Here is a 15,196-nt window from a genome sequence, read left to right on the forward strand (position 1 = left end):
GTCCACTCCTACACATTGTAATTTAGTCTTTTCCATTATTTAAAATTTGATCAGTCTTTTGAAACCTTCAGTCTATGGTTCTTCTCTCTACCTCAATCTTTTCCCTGTGCTTTTTCTGTCGAACACCTGGACTGTTTGACCTGTAAAGTTTCCCATGGTCTGGACTTTGCTGAATGCATGCTCATGGTATAGTTTGGTATGTTCCTTTGTCCTTTTGTATTTTCTGCAAATTAGCAGCTGGATCCAGACACTGGATCAGATTCAAGTTCAATATCTTTGGCAATACTAGAAGGAGTGTTTGGGAAGACTATAGGAGGAAGCTCATGTCTATTTCTTTTTATGAGGCCAACAATTGTTGATGTTTAGTGTCTAAATCTATTATATAATAGGTTCTTTAGTGCTACTTTCATGCTCTGGATCCTTATGGTATATGAAAGATTCAAAAAATGTCAGGCAAATAGGAGACAAGCTTCCCCAAATTGTACTGTATTTATTTTTTACATTCTAAATGCCTTTTACTTATTGCATTTGGTATAAACCAGGTTGCAAAGGCCACTTCAAGCTTGGGGCAATGTCGAGCCAAATTTTAGGGAAAAAAGCAATTTCTGTGGCTCTATCTCCCACCTGCTTTTGTGGAACTTCTCCCTCCTACAAAGGCCTCTCTCTCTCACCAGTTACTGTGGGAAGTTCTAGATGGTGTCTTTTGGATGCTCTTGAAATGGTATTCTCAGCTACCACGTGGCATCTTTCTGTCACTTCCCTCGTTGCCCATCCAGCTCTGACTTCCTTTGGTGATGTCTTCTTTAAAGCCTCTGGGCTCTGTGAAACATTACTTAGGTGGCCCCTTGCAGTTGCTACTGCTACTGTGCAGATGTGGGTGACATTTCCCACTGATGCCAAAGGGCAGAGTGTGCTAATTTTTCTTCTAAATGTCTGTTTTCTCCTCCTCTTGGGACACCTGTAATACACTTCTCAACCTCTCTTGCAATGTGATGTGACCGTGTAACTAATTTCTAGACAATGCTAGATATTTGCAAGTGATATGTGCCACTTTGTGGATAGCTGGTTTGTCCCCTCCAAACTTTCTTTCCCCTTTGTGCTGGCTAGATCCAAATGGTGATGGCACTCTGGGCGGAGGTCTGCAAATACCTTAGGCTTTAGTGTCATATGGTCTCTGTCATGACTATGGTACTCAGTTCAGCTGTTATTGTGCAAAACTAGCCATAGACAATGCGTAAACAAATATGTATGGTTTTGTTCCCATAAAACTTTATTTACAAAAAGAATCTCTGAGCTATATTTTGCTGGTACCTTCCCTAGAGGATAGCAGAGCCACAAGACAGAAAGAACTTGGCCACTGATCACTACATAGAGGAAAGCTGCTTGTCAACCAGGAACAGCCATCTTCCACTATTATAATACGGACAAATAAGTTTCTATTGTATTTCATTCATGTTTTAGTTTCCTATGTCTGCCATAACACAGTATTATTACAAAGTAAGAGGCTTAAAACAGTGGAATTTTATTGTCTTGCAGTTCTAGAGGCCAGAAATCCAAAATCAAGGACTGTGGTCCCTCTGAAACCTCTAGAGGAGAATCCTTCCCTGCCTCTTCCTAGCTTTGGGTGGCATCGGTCAGTCCTGGTCACTACAATCTGCCTCTGTCCTCACATAGCATTCTCCCTGTGTGTTTGTCTCTGTGTCTCTTCTCCTCTCTCTCTTGTTTTTCAAATAATAACATTGTACATAGTTTTATTTTCATGAAGTCAACAGGAATTGGAAGGAAACTACAAAATATAAGTGATAAAAAAAGTGTGAAATAATACAATTTTACAGCAGGACTATCCTGTCTGATCTCTTACCTCGGGTGTTTTAACATACTCTTCCCTCACTTCTGGACATATTCATGGCTCTTCTCTTATAAAGACACCAGTCATGTTGGATCAAGAAACCAGCTTGCTCCAGTATGACCTCATAGTCATGTATATCTTAATTACATCTGCAAAGACCCTATTTCCTTATAAGGTTACACTCAGATATATTAAAGATTAGAACTTTAAACATGTCTTTTTGGAGGTCACAATTCACCTCACAAAGTGATTATATGCTCTTAGGGAGACTTATTACTGAAGCCCACTGGACTATGACCATGCTGTACTTCACTGATACTGGAAAAATTTATTTTTCACACTTTTTTCCTCACCCAAAGTGTCTCAGAGTTGTTGCTATTGCTTCTTTTTTTTTTCTTTTTCAAAAAATATATTTACGTGAAAGAAGAGTCACCATCTTTCTAGACCTCATGCTCAAGTCCATGGAGACTAGAAGGAAGGCAGAGATGATTCTGGAGAGGTAAGAAGGACAGCGATCTCAACAATAGGAAGACTTCATGCTGAAGCATTGTTCTACTCGCTCCTCCTGGTGACTGTGTAGCTGTGTTTCTAACTCTCCTTCCCTCAGCATAAGCTCTTGCCAGGGGTCTCTTTAGTCAGATATACTCTTGACCAGCATTACTTCCTTTTCTCTTGACCCTCCTGCTTACCACCCTCACAGACATGACGAGACCTGTTTAATCCCAAACTGAAAACAGCAGACACTCTGACCTCATATGCTTTTACTGAGAGCTATAAAACGTGTTAAAGACTAATGATAATTAGAACTTCATCTCCATCTCCAAACAATAATCTTCTTTTAGGTGAAGCTAACAAATGATTGGTTGACAGGAGCCTGTCAGAAAACTCCTATTTAGACAATTTTCTTCAAGCAAGAAGAAAGAAATAAAAGTACAGAAAGTTTAGAAATAAAAGTACAGAAAGTTTAGAAATCGAAGTACAAATCGGGGTGAGTCAAAAGGTCAAAACTTAATCTGTGGCACACATTGGCAGCCACCACCTGGTACATCTGGTATTATGGTTCTTTTTATTATTATTATTTTTAAATATTTTATTATACTTTAAGTTCTGGGATACATGTGCAGAATGTGCAGGTTTGTTACATAGGTATACATGTGCCATGGTGGTTTGCTGCACCCATCAACCTGTCATCTACATCAGGTATTTCTCCTAATGCTAACCCTCCCCTTGTCCCCCAACCCCCCTACAGGCCCTGGCATATGATGTTCCCCTCCCTGTGCCCATATGTTCTCATTGTTCAACTCCCACTTATAAGTGAGAACATGTGGTGTTTGGTTTTCTGTTCCTATGATAGTTTTCTGAGAAAGACAGTTTCCAGCTTCATCCACGTCCCTGCAAAGGACATGAACTCATTCTTTATTATAGCTGCATAATATTCCATGGTATATATGTGCCACATTTTCTTTATCCAGTCTATTATTGATGGGCATTTGGGTTGGTTTCAAGTCTTTGCTATTGTGAATAGTGCTGCAATAAACATATGTGTGCATGTGTCTTTATATTAGAATGATTTATAATCCTTTGGGTATATACCCAGTAATGGGATGGCTGGGTCAAATGGTATTTCTAGTTCTAGATCCTTGAGGAATTGCCACTCTGTCTTCCACAATGGTTGAACTATTATTTACACTCCCACCAACAGTGTAAAAGCATTCCTATTTCTCCACATTCTCTCCAGCATCTGTTGTTTCTTGACTTTTTAATGATCGCCATTCTAACTGGGGTGAGATAGTATCTCATTTGTGGTTTTGATTTGCATTTCTCTAATGAACAGTGATGATGAGCTTTTTTTTCATATGTTTGTTGGCTGCATAAATGTCTTCTTTTGAGAAGTGCCTGTTAATATCCTTCACCCACTTTTTGATGGATATCAAAAGTGGATATCCATCTGGATATTAGCCCTTTCTCAGATGGATAGATTGCAAAAATTTTCTCCCATTCTGTGGGTTGCCTATTCACTTTGATGATAGTTTCTTTTGCTGTGCAGAAGCTCTTTAGTTTAATTAGATCCTATTTATCAATTTTGGCTTTTGTTGCCGTTGCTTTTGGTGTTTTAGTCATGAAGTCTTTGCCCATGCCTATGTCCTGAATGGTATTGCCTAGGTTTTCTTCTAGGTTTTTTATGGTTTTAGGTCTTAAGTTTAAGCCTTTAATCCATCTTGAGTTAATTTTTGTATAAGGTGTAAGTAAAGGGTCCAGTTTCAGTTTTCTGCATATGGCAAAGCCAGATTTCCCAACACCATTTATTAAACAGGGAATTCTTTCCCCATTTCTTGTTTTTGTCAAGTTTGTCAAAGATCAGATGGTTGTAGATGTGTGGTGTTATTTTCGAGGCCTCTGTTCTGTTCCATTGGTCTATATATCTGTTTTGTTACCAGTACCATTCTGTTTTGGTTACTGTAGCCTTGTAGTATAGTTTGAAGTCAGCTAGTGTGATGCCTCAAGCTTTGTTCTTTTTGCTTAGGATTGTCTTGGCTATGCAGCCTCTTTTTTGGTTCCATATAAAATTTAAAGAAGTTTTTTGTAATTCGGTGAAGAAAGTCAATGGTAGCTTGATGGGACTAGCATTGAATCTATAAATTACTTCAGGCAGCATGGCCATTTTTATGATATTGATTCTTCCTATCCATGAGCATGGAATGTTTTTCCATTTATTTGTGTCCTCTCTTATTTCCTTGAGCAGTGGTTTGTAGTATTCCTTGAAGAGGTCCTTCACATCCCTTGTAAGTTGGATTCCTAGGTATTTCATTCTCTTTGTAGCAATTGTGAATAGGAGTTCACTCATGATTTGGCTCTCTGTATATTATTTGTGTATAGGAATGCTTGTGGTTTTTGCACATTGATTTTGTATCCTGAGACTTTGCTGAAATTGCTTATCAGCTTAAGGAGATTTTGGGCTGAGATGATGGGGTTTTCTGAATATACAATCATGTTATCTGCAAACAGAGACAATTTTACTTCCTCTCTTCCTATTTGAATACCCTTTATTTTGTTCTCTTGCCTGTTTGCCCTGACCAGAACTTCCAATACTAGGTTGAGTAGGAGTGGTGAGAGAGGGCATCCTTGCCTTGTGCTGGTTTTCAAAAGGAATGCTTCCAGTTTTTGCCCATTCAGTATGACATTGGCTGTGGGTTTTTCATAAATAGCTCTTATTATTTTGAGATACTTTCCATCAATACCTTGTTTATTGAGAGTTTTTAGCGTGAAGGGGTGTTGAATTTTATCGAAGGCCTTTTCTGCATCTATTGAGATAATCATGTGGTTTTTGTCATTAGTTCTGTTTATGTGATGGATTACTGATTTGCATATGTTGAACCAGCCTTGCATCCCAGGGATGAAGCCGACTTGATCATGGTGGATAAGCTTTTTAATGTGCTGCTGGATTTGGTTTGACAGTATTTTACTGAGGATTTTTGTATCAATGTTCCTCAGGGATATCGGCCTGAAATTTTCTCTTTTTGTTGTGTCTCTGCCAGGTTTTGGTATCAGGATGATGCTGGCCTCATAAAATGATTTAGGGAGGAGTCCCTCTTTTCTATTGTTTGGAATAGTTTCGTAAGGAATGGTACCAGCTCCTCTTTGTACCTCTGGTAGAATTCGGCTGTGAATCGGTCTGGTCCTGGGCTTTTTTTGGTTGGTAGGTTATTAATTACTCCCTCAATTTCAGAAATTGTTATTGGTCTATTCACTTCTATGCATAGAGGTGTTTATAGTATTCTCTGATGGTAGTTTGTATTTCTGTGGGATCAGTGGTGATATTCCCTTTATCATTTTTTATTCTGTCTATTTGATTCTTCTCTCTTTTCTGTTTTATTAGTCTGGCTAGCAGTCTACCTATTTTGTTAATCTTTTCAAAAAGCCTGCTCCTGGATTCATTGATTTTTCGAAGGGTTTTTCATGTTGCTGTCTCCTTCAGTTCTGCTCTGATATTAGTTATTTCTTGTCTTCTGCTAGCTTTTGAATTTGTTTGCTCTTGCTTCTCTAGTTATTTTAATTGTGATGTTAGGGTGTTGCTTTTAGATCTTTCTCACTTTCTCCTGTGGGCATTTAGTGCTATAAATTTCCCTCTAAACACTGCTTTAGCTGCATCCCAGAGATTCTGGCATGTTGTGTCTTTGTTCTCATTGGTTTCAAATAACTTATTTATTTCTGCCTTCGTTTTGTTATTTATGCAGTAGTCATTCAGGAGCAGGTTGTTCAGTTTCCATGTAGTTGCACCTGTGTTGAGTGAGTTTCTTAATCCTGAGTTCTAATTTGATTGCACTGTGGTCTGAGTAACTGTTTGTTATGATTTCTGTTCTTTTGCAGTTGCTAAGGAGTGTTTTACTTCCAATTATGTGGTCAGTTTTAGAATAAGTGCTATGTGGTGCTGAGAAGAATGTATATTCTGCTGATTTGAGGTGGAGAGTTTTGTAGATGTGTATTAGGTCCACTTGATCCAGAGCTGAGCTCAAGTCCTGAATATCCTTTTTAATTTTCTGTCTCATTGATCTGTCTAATATTGACAGTGGAGTGTTAAATTCTCCCACTATTATTGTATGCGAGTTGAAGTCTTTTGTAGGTCTCTAAGAACTTGCTTTATGAATCTGGGTGCTTCTGTATTGGGTGCATATATATTTAGGATAGTTAGTTCTTCTTGTTGCATTGATCCCTTTATCATTCTGTAATGTTCTTCTTTGTATTTTTCTTTTAATCTTTGTTGGTTTAAAGTCTGTTTTATCAGAGACTAGGATTGCAACCCCTGCTTTTTTTTGCGTTCCATTTCCTTGGTAAGTCTTCCTCCATCCCTTTATTTTGAGCCTATGTGTGTCTTTGCACATGAGATGTGTCTCCTGAATACAGCACACTGATGGGTCTTGACTCTTTATCCAATGTGCTAGTCTGTGTCTTTTAACTGGGGCACTTAGTCCATTTACATGTAAATTTAATATCGTTGGCTGGGTGCAGTGGCTCACGCCTGTAATCCCAGCACTTTGGGAGGCTTAGGTGGGCGAATCACAAGGTCAGGAGTTCAAGACCAGTCTGGCCAACATGGTGAAACCCCGTCTCTACTAAAAATAAAGAAAATTAGCTGGGCGTAGTGGTGGGTGCCTATAATCCCAGCTACTCAGGAGGCTGAGGCAGGAGAATCACTTGAACCTGGGAGACGGAGGTTGCACTGAGCCGAGATGGGTGCCACTGTACTCCAGCCCAGTGATAGAGTGAGACCGTGCCTCAAAAAAAAAAAAAAAATTGCTATGTGTGAATTTGATCCTGTCATTATGATGCTAGCTGGTTATTTTGCCCATTAGTTGATGCAGTATTTTCATAGTGTTGATGGTCTTTACATTTCAGTATGTTTTTGCAGTGGCTGATAATGGTTTTTCCTTTCCATATTTAGTGCTTCCTTCAGGAGTTCTTGTAAGGCAGGCCGGCTTGTGACAAAAATCCCTCAGCATTTGCTTGTCTTTAAAGGATTTTATTTCTCCTTTGCTTATGAAGCTTAGTTTGGGTGGATATGAAATTCTGGGTTGAAAATTCTTTTCTTTAAGAATGTTGAATATTGGTCCCCACTCTCTTCTGGCTTCTAGGGTTTCTGCAGAGAGATCTGCTGTTAGTCTGATGGGCTTCCCTTTGTGGGTAACCCAACCTTTCTCTCTGGCTGCCCTTAACATTTGCTCCTTCATTTCAACCTTGGTGAATCTGATGATTATGTGTCTTGGGGTTGCTCTTCTCAGGGAGTATCTTTGTGGTATTCTCTGTATTTCCTGAATTTGTATATTGGCCTGTCTTGCTAGGTTGGAGAAGTTCTCCTGGATAATATCCTGAAGTGTGTTTTCCAAGTTGGTTCCTTTCTCCCTGTCATTTTGAGGTACATCAATCAAATGTAGGTTTGGTCTTTTCACATAGTCCCATATTTCTTGGAGGCTTTGTTCATTCCTTTTAATTCTTTTTTCTCTAATCTTGTCTTCATGCTTTATTTCATTAAGTTCACCTTCAGTCTTTGATATCCTTTCTTCCGCTTGATCGATTTGGCTATTCATACTTGTGTAAGCTTCATGAAGTTCTTGTGCTGTGTTTTTCAGCTCCATCAGGTCATTTATTTTCTTCTCTAAACTGGTTATTCTAATTAGCAGTTCCTGTAACCTTTTATCAAGGTTCTTAGCTTCCTTCCATTGGGTTTTTGGAATTTTCAGCCTTTTTGCTCTATTTTTAATTCATCTTCATGGCTTTATCTACCTTTGGTCTTTGGTGTTGGAGGTCTTTGGATGGGGTTTTTGCATGGGCATCCTTTTTGCTGATGTTGATGCTATTCCTTTCTGTTTTTTTTCCTTCTAATAGTCAGGGCCCTCTTCTACAGGTCTGCTGGAGTTTGCTGGAGTTCCACTCCAGACCCTGTTTGTCTGGGTATCACCAGCGGAGGCTGCAGAACAACAAAGATTGCTGCCTGTTCCTTCCTCTGGAAGCTTCGTCCCAGAGGGGCACCCACCAGATGCCAGCCGGAGCTCTCCTGTATAAGGTGTCTCCCAGACAGGATGCACGGGGGTCAAGGACCCACTTGAGGAGGCAGTCTGTCCCTTAGCAGAGCTCGAGCGCTATGCTGGGAGATCCACTGCTCTCTTCAGAGCCAGCAGGCAGGAGCATTTAATTCTGCTGAAGCTGCACCCAGAGCTGCCCCTTCCCCCAGGTGCTCTGTCCCAGGGAGATGGGAGTTTTATCTATAAGCCCCTGACTGGGGCTGCTGCCTTTCTTTCAGAGATGGCCTGCCCAGAGAGGAGGAATCTAGAGAGGCAGTGTAGCTACAGTGGCTTCATGGTGCTGCGGTGGGTTCTGCACCCAGTTCGAACTTCCTGGAGGCTTTGTTTACAGTGTGAGGAGAAAACTGCCTACTCAAGCCTCAATAATGACCAGTGTCCCACCCCCCACCAAGCTCAAGTGTCCCAGGTTGACTTCAGAGTGCTGTGCTGGCAGCAAGAATTTCAAGCCAGTGCATCTTAGCCTGTCAGGCTTCATTGGGGGTGGGATCCACTGAGCAAGACCTCTTGGCTCCCTGACTTCAGCCCCCTTTCCAGGGGAGTGAATGGTTCTGTCTCGCTGGCATTCCATACACCACTGGGGTATGAAAAAAACTCCTGCAGCTAGCTCGGTGTCTGCCCAAATGGCTGCCCAGTTTTGTGCTTGAAACCCAGGGCCCTGGTGGTGTAGGCACCCGAGGGAATCTCCTGGTCTGTGGGTTGCGAAAACCATGGGAAAAGCATAGTGTCTGGGCCAGATAGCACTGTTCCTCATGGCACAGTCCCTAACAGCTTCCCTTGGCTAGGGGAGGAAGTTCTCTGACCCCTTGCACTTCCCAGGTGAGGTGATGCCTCACCCTGCTTCTGCTCACCCTCCATGGGCTGCACCCACTGTCTAACCAGTCCCAATGAGACGAAGTGGGTACCTCAATTGGAAATGCAGAAATCACCTGCCTTCTTCTTTGATCTCACTGGGAGCTGCAGACCAGAGCTCTTCCTAGCCATCTTGCCAGCCATCTGTTATGGTTCTTAAAACATTAATTTGCTATTGTGTGTTCAGCTTATCTAAAAAATAAAGTATGGGAATCAGTGAATTTTGAGGAGAAGGCAATGCTCTTATGTGTGTGTATATGGTGTGTGTCTGTATTTGTGCCTATGGATAATCATTAGTTTCTCAAATGTATGCAAGTGATACAGCACATATGTGTATTTCCCAGTCTTCATACGCTCAACAGACCAGCCTTCTTTTTCCACCTCGGACATATGTTTCTGGGTAGGTTTCCTGATTTGTAATCAGTCAGCCTCTGATATTCACTGTGACTTTGGTTTCCAGCCCTGTCTGGAAGAACTCCAGCCTGGGAGAATGTAAACATTTTATTCAGAAGCCTGTGATGTTGGAAAGAGGAGGTTTTGGATGATTTTTGTTTTTGTTTGGACTTGGGTCAGTGTCTCCCATTTATAGCTGGAATGTGAACTGCATGGCTTCAGATGTGTTTTGGAAGATTGATGTGGGCCTCATGAAACTCAGCTACAGTGGAGCCTCAGGAGACTAGGAGCTGGTTATCATATTAAGAAACACATTTCTTTTTATCAGTGAATATTAATGCTGAACAGTGAAGCTGTGGAACTCCTTCTCTTACACCGGCAACCTCAGCCCTCCTAGAAAAGCTGTGTAGTCAGAACCAGTGTTAGGGGGAGTTCTTTATGGTTTCTCCAACAGTCGTTGATACTGAGTAAAAAGGGACTACCCAGGGGATTTCAAGTCAAAATCTAAGAACTAAACTTATTTCTGTTAATGATATGAATGACATGTCATTGGTGAATGGAAAGAAAATGCTCTCAATATATGGAGCTATAGGAATAAATGCTAGAAGTGAGGCTAAGTTTTTGCCAGCTGTATCCTACTGATCATATTGGCCATTATGTTAGAATTGCCACTTTCCCTCTCCTTGGATGAAAAGAGGTCTTATTTTATTTTTCCAAGAAGGAGTCTTGCTCTGTCACCCAGGCTGGAGTGCAGTGGCGCGATCTTGGCTCACCGCAACCTCTGCCTCCTGGGTTCAAGCGATTCTCCTGCCTCAGCCTCCCAAGTAGCTGGGATTACAGGAGTGTGCCACCTCGCCCAGCTAATTTTTATATTTTTAGTAGAGAAGGAGTTTCACCCTGTTGGCCAGGCTGGTCTCAAATTCCTGACCTTGTGATCTGCCAGCCTCGGCCTCCCAAAGTGCTGGGATTACAGGTGCGAGCCACCATGCCCTGCCATGAAAAGAAATGTTATAAAAGTACAAACCACTTGTGCTTTATTTTATGGGTGAGTCTACTTGTGGTGGATCCACTTGTCTCATACCATTATGTCTACTTCTTTCCTTTTTGATTGCTAAGAAAATTTTCCATCTTTTCCAACGAAAATGCAGGATCTAAAACAGAATTGCAAAGTTATTCCAAAATCAAACCAAACAAACGAACAAACTAATCATTAACATTTAAAAATCAGGAGATCGCACCTAAGAATCTGCATTTCTTCAGTCTCCTGGAATGCAGGTGCATGTGGTAGCACTGAGTCTGCATTTCTGCATACTGGAACTGGGTAGATGGAGCTACCTTTTAATGTGACACGTGCTCCCAGTCTTATTAAGGCAGGCCAGCTTTACCCATTTGTGTGAGCTGCCCTGTCCTTGTAGGCATTTGAATTTTTAACGTTTGGTCTATAGGAAAGAAAACTTCTGCAATATTTTTTTTTCTTCCTTGAGACTCTAAGTGATGTTTTGGAATTGGAAATGAGCTATGGTTAGTGAATGGAAATGGTCAGTGGAAATATGTAATTAAAGGGACTTCCCTAGAGCCACGATCTAAATGTATTTGGGCAACAATGGTGCTTAGTGTTACCCATGTCGAAAAGACTCATCAGTCTGAACTTAGTTTTCACAGATACATGCTCAGGGGAAACGTTTCCTCCTGAAGATGATTCCTCTTGGTTTTGACTGCCTGGATCAGTTCATAAAGCTGGAGTTATGGCTTCTTCAAAAAAGCCTGTCTCTCATGCTGTGGTAAAATATGTGGTCACCTGGCTGGTGAAGAGTTTCTGGGTCCCATAATATTTTACATAGGACACAAAAAATGGAATGCTTTTGGACTTAAACCTGTTTTCTTTTCAACTCCTTCTGCCTAGAGGAGATGGTAGCCTCAGAAGAGTTCTTACTTCCCCTTCCTAGAACTGTGCAAATCTTTCAGGTCCCAGCTGGTAATGGAGAAATTACTTTTTGTTATTTAAAAAATATAAACAGGAAAAATAAAAACCATGATATTTCATGAAATACAACTTCTTTTCTGTTTTCTACTAAATAAGACAAATTTTTTTTTATATGTGTTCAGGTTCCTGACTGTCTTTAGTACTTTACCTTCTCATGGTCTCTACTCTCTTGCAATTTATTTTATATAGTCTTTTTCCAGGAATCCTCCCGTCTCATTAGATTTTTCTTTTTGTTCCTTTCCATGCTGCTGTATTTTCCTTTTATTTTAGAACCTGTGTCTAATTTTCCAGCTCTCTACTTTTATTCTTATTTTCCTTTTGTCAGCCTGGTGTCTTTTATTTTCTATTGTTTCATTTTTTCCCTCTCTGTGCCCTTTTTCATGTGCTATTATACAGGGTTTGCTTATTTTTCACTTCTGTTCAGTTTGTTTTATTCTCTTACCATGCATTCATACCTCCTGCTTCAAAACCAAAAAACCCGAAACTGATTCTTACTTTTTTAATTGTAACCCTCTCCCTAGTTTATTTACACTAACTTTACACTATGAGTTTTTTATACTTGAAATTGCCAAAATTTCCTTATCACTTAGTTTTCTCCCAGTTTCCCATAGAAAATTCAGTGGATGTTCTTTCCATATGTCAGCTGCTGTGGTAACCCAAGACAGAGGTCATTATGTTCAGTTCTGATCACATTTTGTTCTTTCGCTGGCTGTATTACCTGAAGGAAGCCACAGTCTCTGTCTGGGTCTCATTTTTTTTTATCTAGTAAAGTTAACAGGGAGAACAAGGTGTGGTTCTCAGATGAGGCACACCTGTGAGCTCGCCAGAACTGTGCTACCTCAGGTCTCACTCCACACTTCCTGACGTGGTATCTGCATTTTTACAAGATCTCCCGCTGATCTGTGCCCTCATGGAAGTTTGAGAAGCACAATCTCGATGCTCTTTGGGGGTTTTTCCAGGTTTAACTTTGCTGAAAATAAGGGAAAACCTATTTTACTAAGTGAAAATAAGTGAAATATTTTAATAAGTGAAAATAAGGGAAAAACATAAAGTGAAAACTGCTTTGGTTACAAGGCACAGTAGAATAACCTGGGAAGCATCAATAAAATGTCAATGCCTTAGAGGTCCCTCCTCAGGGCAGCTGATTCAGAAACTCTGGGGATGGTATTTTTTACTGTACCAGGTGATTTTAATGAGCAGGTTGATCCCCACTTAAATATGCTATTTAACTTTGACCTCCTTTACTGATGCCCTCAGTGCTGCCCTCTTTTGGTTGTGAGGTAAGTAATTACTATGGAAAGAGGAACTTCGAAGTATTTGGTTTCATCTACTTAAACCCACCAGAATTTATTCTGGGGAGGCCATAACTGGGGAGATAGATAACTATCGAAGGAGGCTATATGTATTTTTATAGCGTTATGAAAGCAAAAGCAGGATTCGCTTACTTTTTTTTTTTTCTCAAGACTGATTAAGGCTTTTGCTGGCAATGGGAGTGTTTGTGGTAACAGAAGGAAGTAACCCTGGCAAGTGATAGATAGACATTGTATCCTAAGAGTCTTGGGGGTGGTGGGTGCCGGGGATATGTCAGTGGGATGGTTTTATTTCATCAGAACTTGGTGCTGGTGTTGACTGGATACTCACAATTAGCCACATGCTATGATTGGGTTACTGAACATTAGGTTCTAATTTATTTTTAATTATTTCAGGTTGTTGAACTGTAGCTGATTTAAGAAAACTTGAAACCAAGATTTTTTTTTTTAACTGCTCTTATAGTATTCTTAGTGTGAGAACTGGGGAGGGAATAGTCATAAAACAATTTGTCACAAGAGTGGAGGGTGTGACAATACTATTAGGTGGTGATACTTTAATGTTGTAGTTTTAAAATCGGATCTTGAGAAACTGTGTCTTTAAAGATTTTTTCTTTTTTTAAGAGAGAGAGTTTCGCTCTTGTCGCCCAGGCTGGAGTGCAATGGTGTGATCTCGGCTCACTGCAACTTCTGCCTCCCGGCTTCAAACGATTCTCCTGCCTCAGCCTCCCGAGTACCTAGGATTACGGGCAGCCTGCTACCATGCCCAGCTAATTTTTGTATTTTTAGTAGAGAAAGGTTTCATCATATTGGCTAGGCTGGTCTCAAACTCCTGATCTCAGGTGATCCACCCGCCTCAGCCTCCCAAACGGCTGGGATTACAGGCAAGAGCCACCACACCTGGCCTTTAAAGGGCTTTTTAAAAAAAGGTTAAATGTTTTTCACCAGTGCTCAATGAGAAACACAAACATGATTACATTGTTTGGAGTGGCTGAATTACTTGATCAAAATTTAAAAAAAAAGGTATTTTCCCTAAGTGGTTTTTGCTTAGTACAGCACCTTTTTTTCCCCTCAGTTTTCATGTCCTGAATTATTTCTGCATCATTAAGTTTAGCTGAGGAGCCAAAATTCTGTCATTGTGGGGGGATTGCTGAGGTGTCACATCGACAAAGGGAGGTACTTAGAATAAGATGTCATTTTGGTCTGTTCTTGAGTGTTACTCCAAGAAGTTATGTGAGCAGAGAAACACTAATCCTGTGGGCCATCTGTCTTTCCCATCATGTGGCAGAACCCCCATGCAGAATCTCTAGTCAAGGTTGGACCATGGCTGCATTTCATTACATCTGAAAAGAGTCCCCGGTAGTTATGTGATTTTTACCTCACAGATTGCTCAGAATCACATAAAGCCTCAACAAATATTTCCTCACAGATTTATTCTAGCCCTGGTCAAAAGTGTGAAGTAGGACATTTTCTTCAAGTGTATTTTTTTTTCTGTCTTATTGAAACACTTTCAATACTGTTAGCGTGACTTTGTGTCCCATCCGTCCAATATTTGCTGTACTCACAGCTGTTACCTCTGCAGGAAATCTTTGCAAACTAGAGTCTTCATTCTTTCATGGTTCTAGGCAGTAAGCTTAGAAGGGACAGTGGAGCTGTAACACTCACTGTTTCATAAGTTTTTAAACTTATGCTGTAAAAGTCTCTGATACATGCAAGATCAGAGAAAATGTAGAACAAAGGAGGCATATAGATGAGGTGAGGATACTGGGAAGATAATAAATTTGCACAGAAGGGAAGGGAGTTTATAAAATGTGGGAAGAGTCAGGAAAGGCTGGCAGGAGGTGAACCGGGGTGTAAGAAGGATGTGTACAATATGTAGGTAGAGAAGATATGTCATGAGGCCTCGCAATGCCCTCATTACCATTATGGTTAGGTAGTTGCCAACACATGTTTTCGGAGCACCTACTGTGTGCCAAACATTATTCTGGTGCTCAGGGTATGGCAGTAAATGAGCCTAGCAGAATTTCTGTCTTCAAGGAGCTAACATTCTATTCTAGTAAAAAAGTTCTCTTGCCCTTGCTAAGTTTGAAATGCCTGTTTATGGCAAAGGAGTAGAAATGGTAGATGCTTTATATAAAAATATATGATTTGTCTTGGCAAAGCATCCTTGAGGAGAGATTAGTACAGTGCAAAAAAGTATTGAGTAACATTCTCCCCGTTTCCACCTTTCTGTCAG

The 15,196-nt window shown here is 40.5% G+C and overlaps 1 protein-coding gene across 24 annotated transcripts in view; it reads left to right on the top strand.

The window, feature by feature from the left end:
- TRMT11 (tRNA methyltransferase 11) overlaps positions 1 to 15,196 on the top strand; it is a 285,804-nt gene that overhangs the window by 171,613 nt on the left and 98,995 nt on the right. The gene's annotated exons all lie outside the window — the stretch shown is intronic.

This window comes from Homo sapiens, chromosome 6 (assembly GCF_000001405.40).
Source record: "Homo sapiens chromosome 6, GRCh38.p14 Primary Assembly".
NCBI classification, from domain to species: Eukaryota; Metazoa; Chordata; class Mammalia; order Primates; family Hominidae; genus Homo; species Homo sapiens.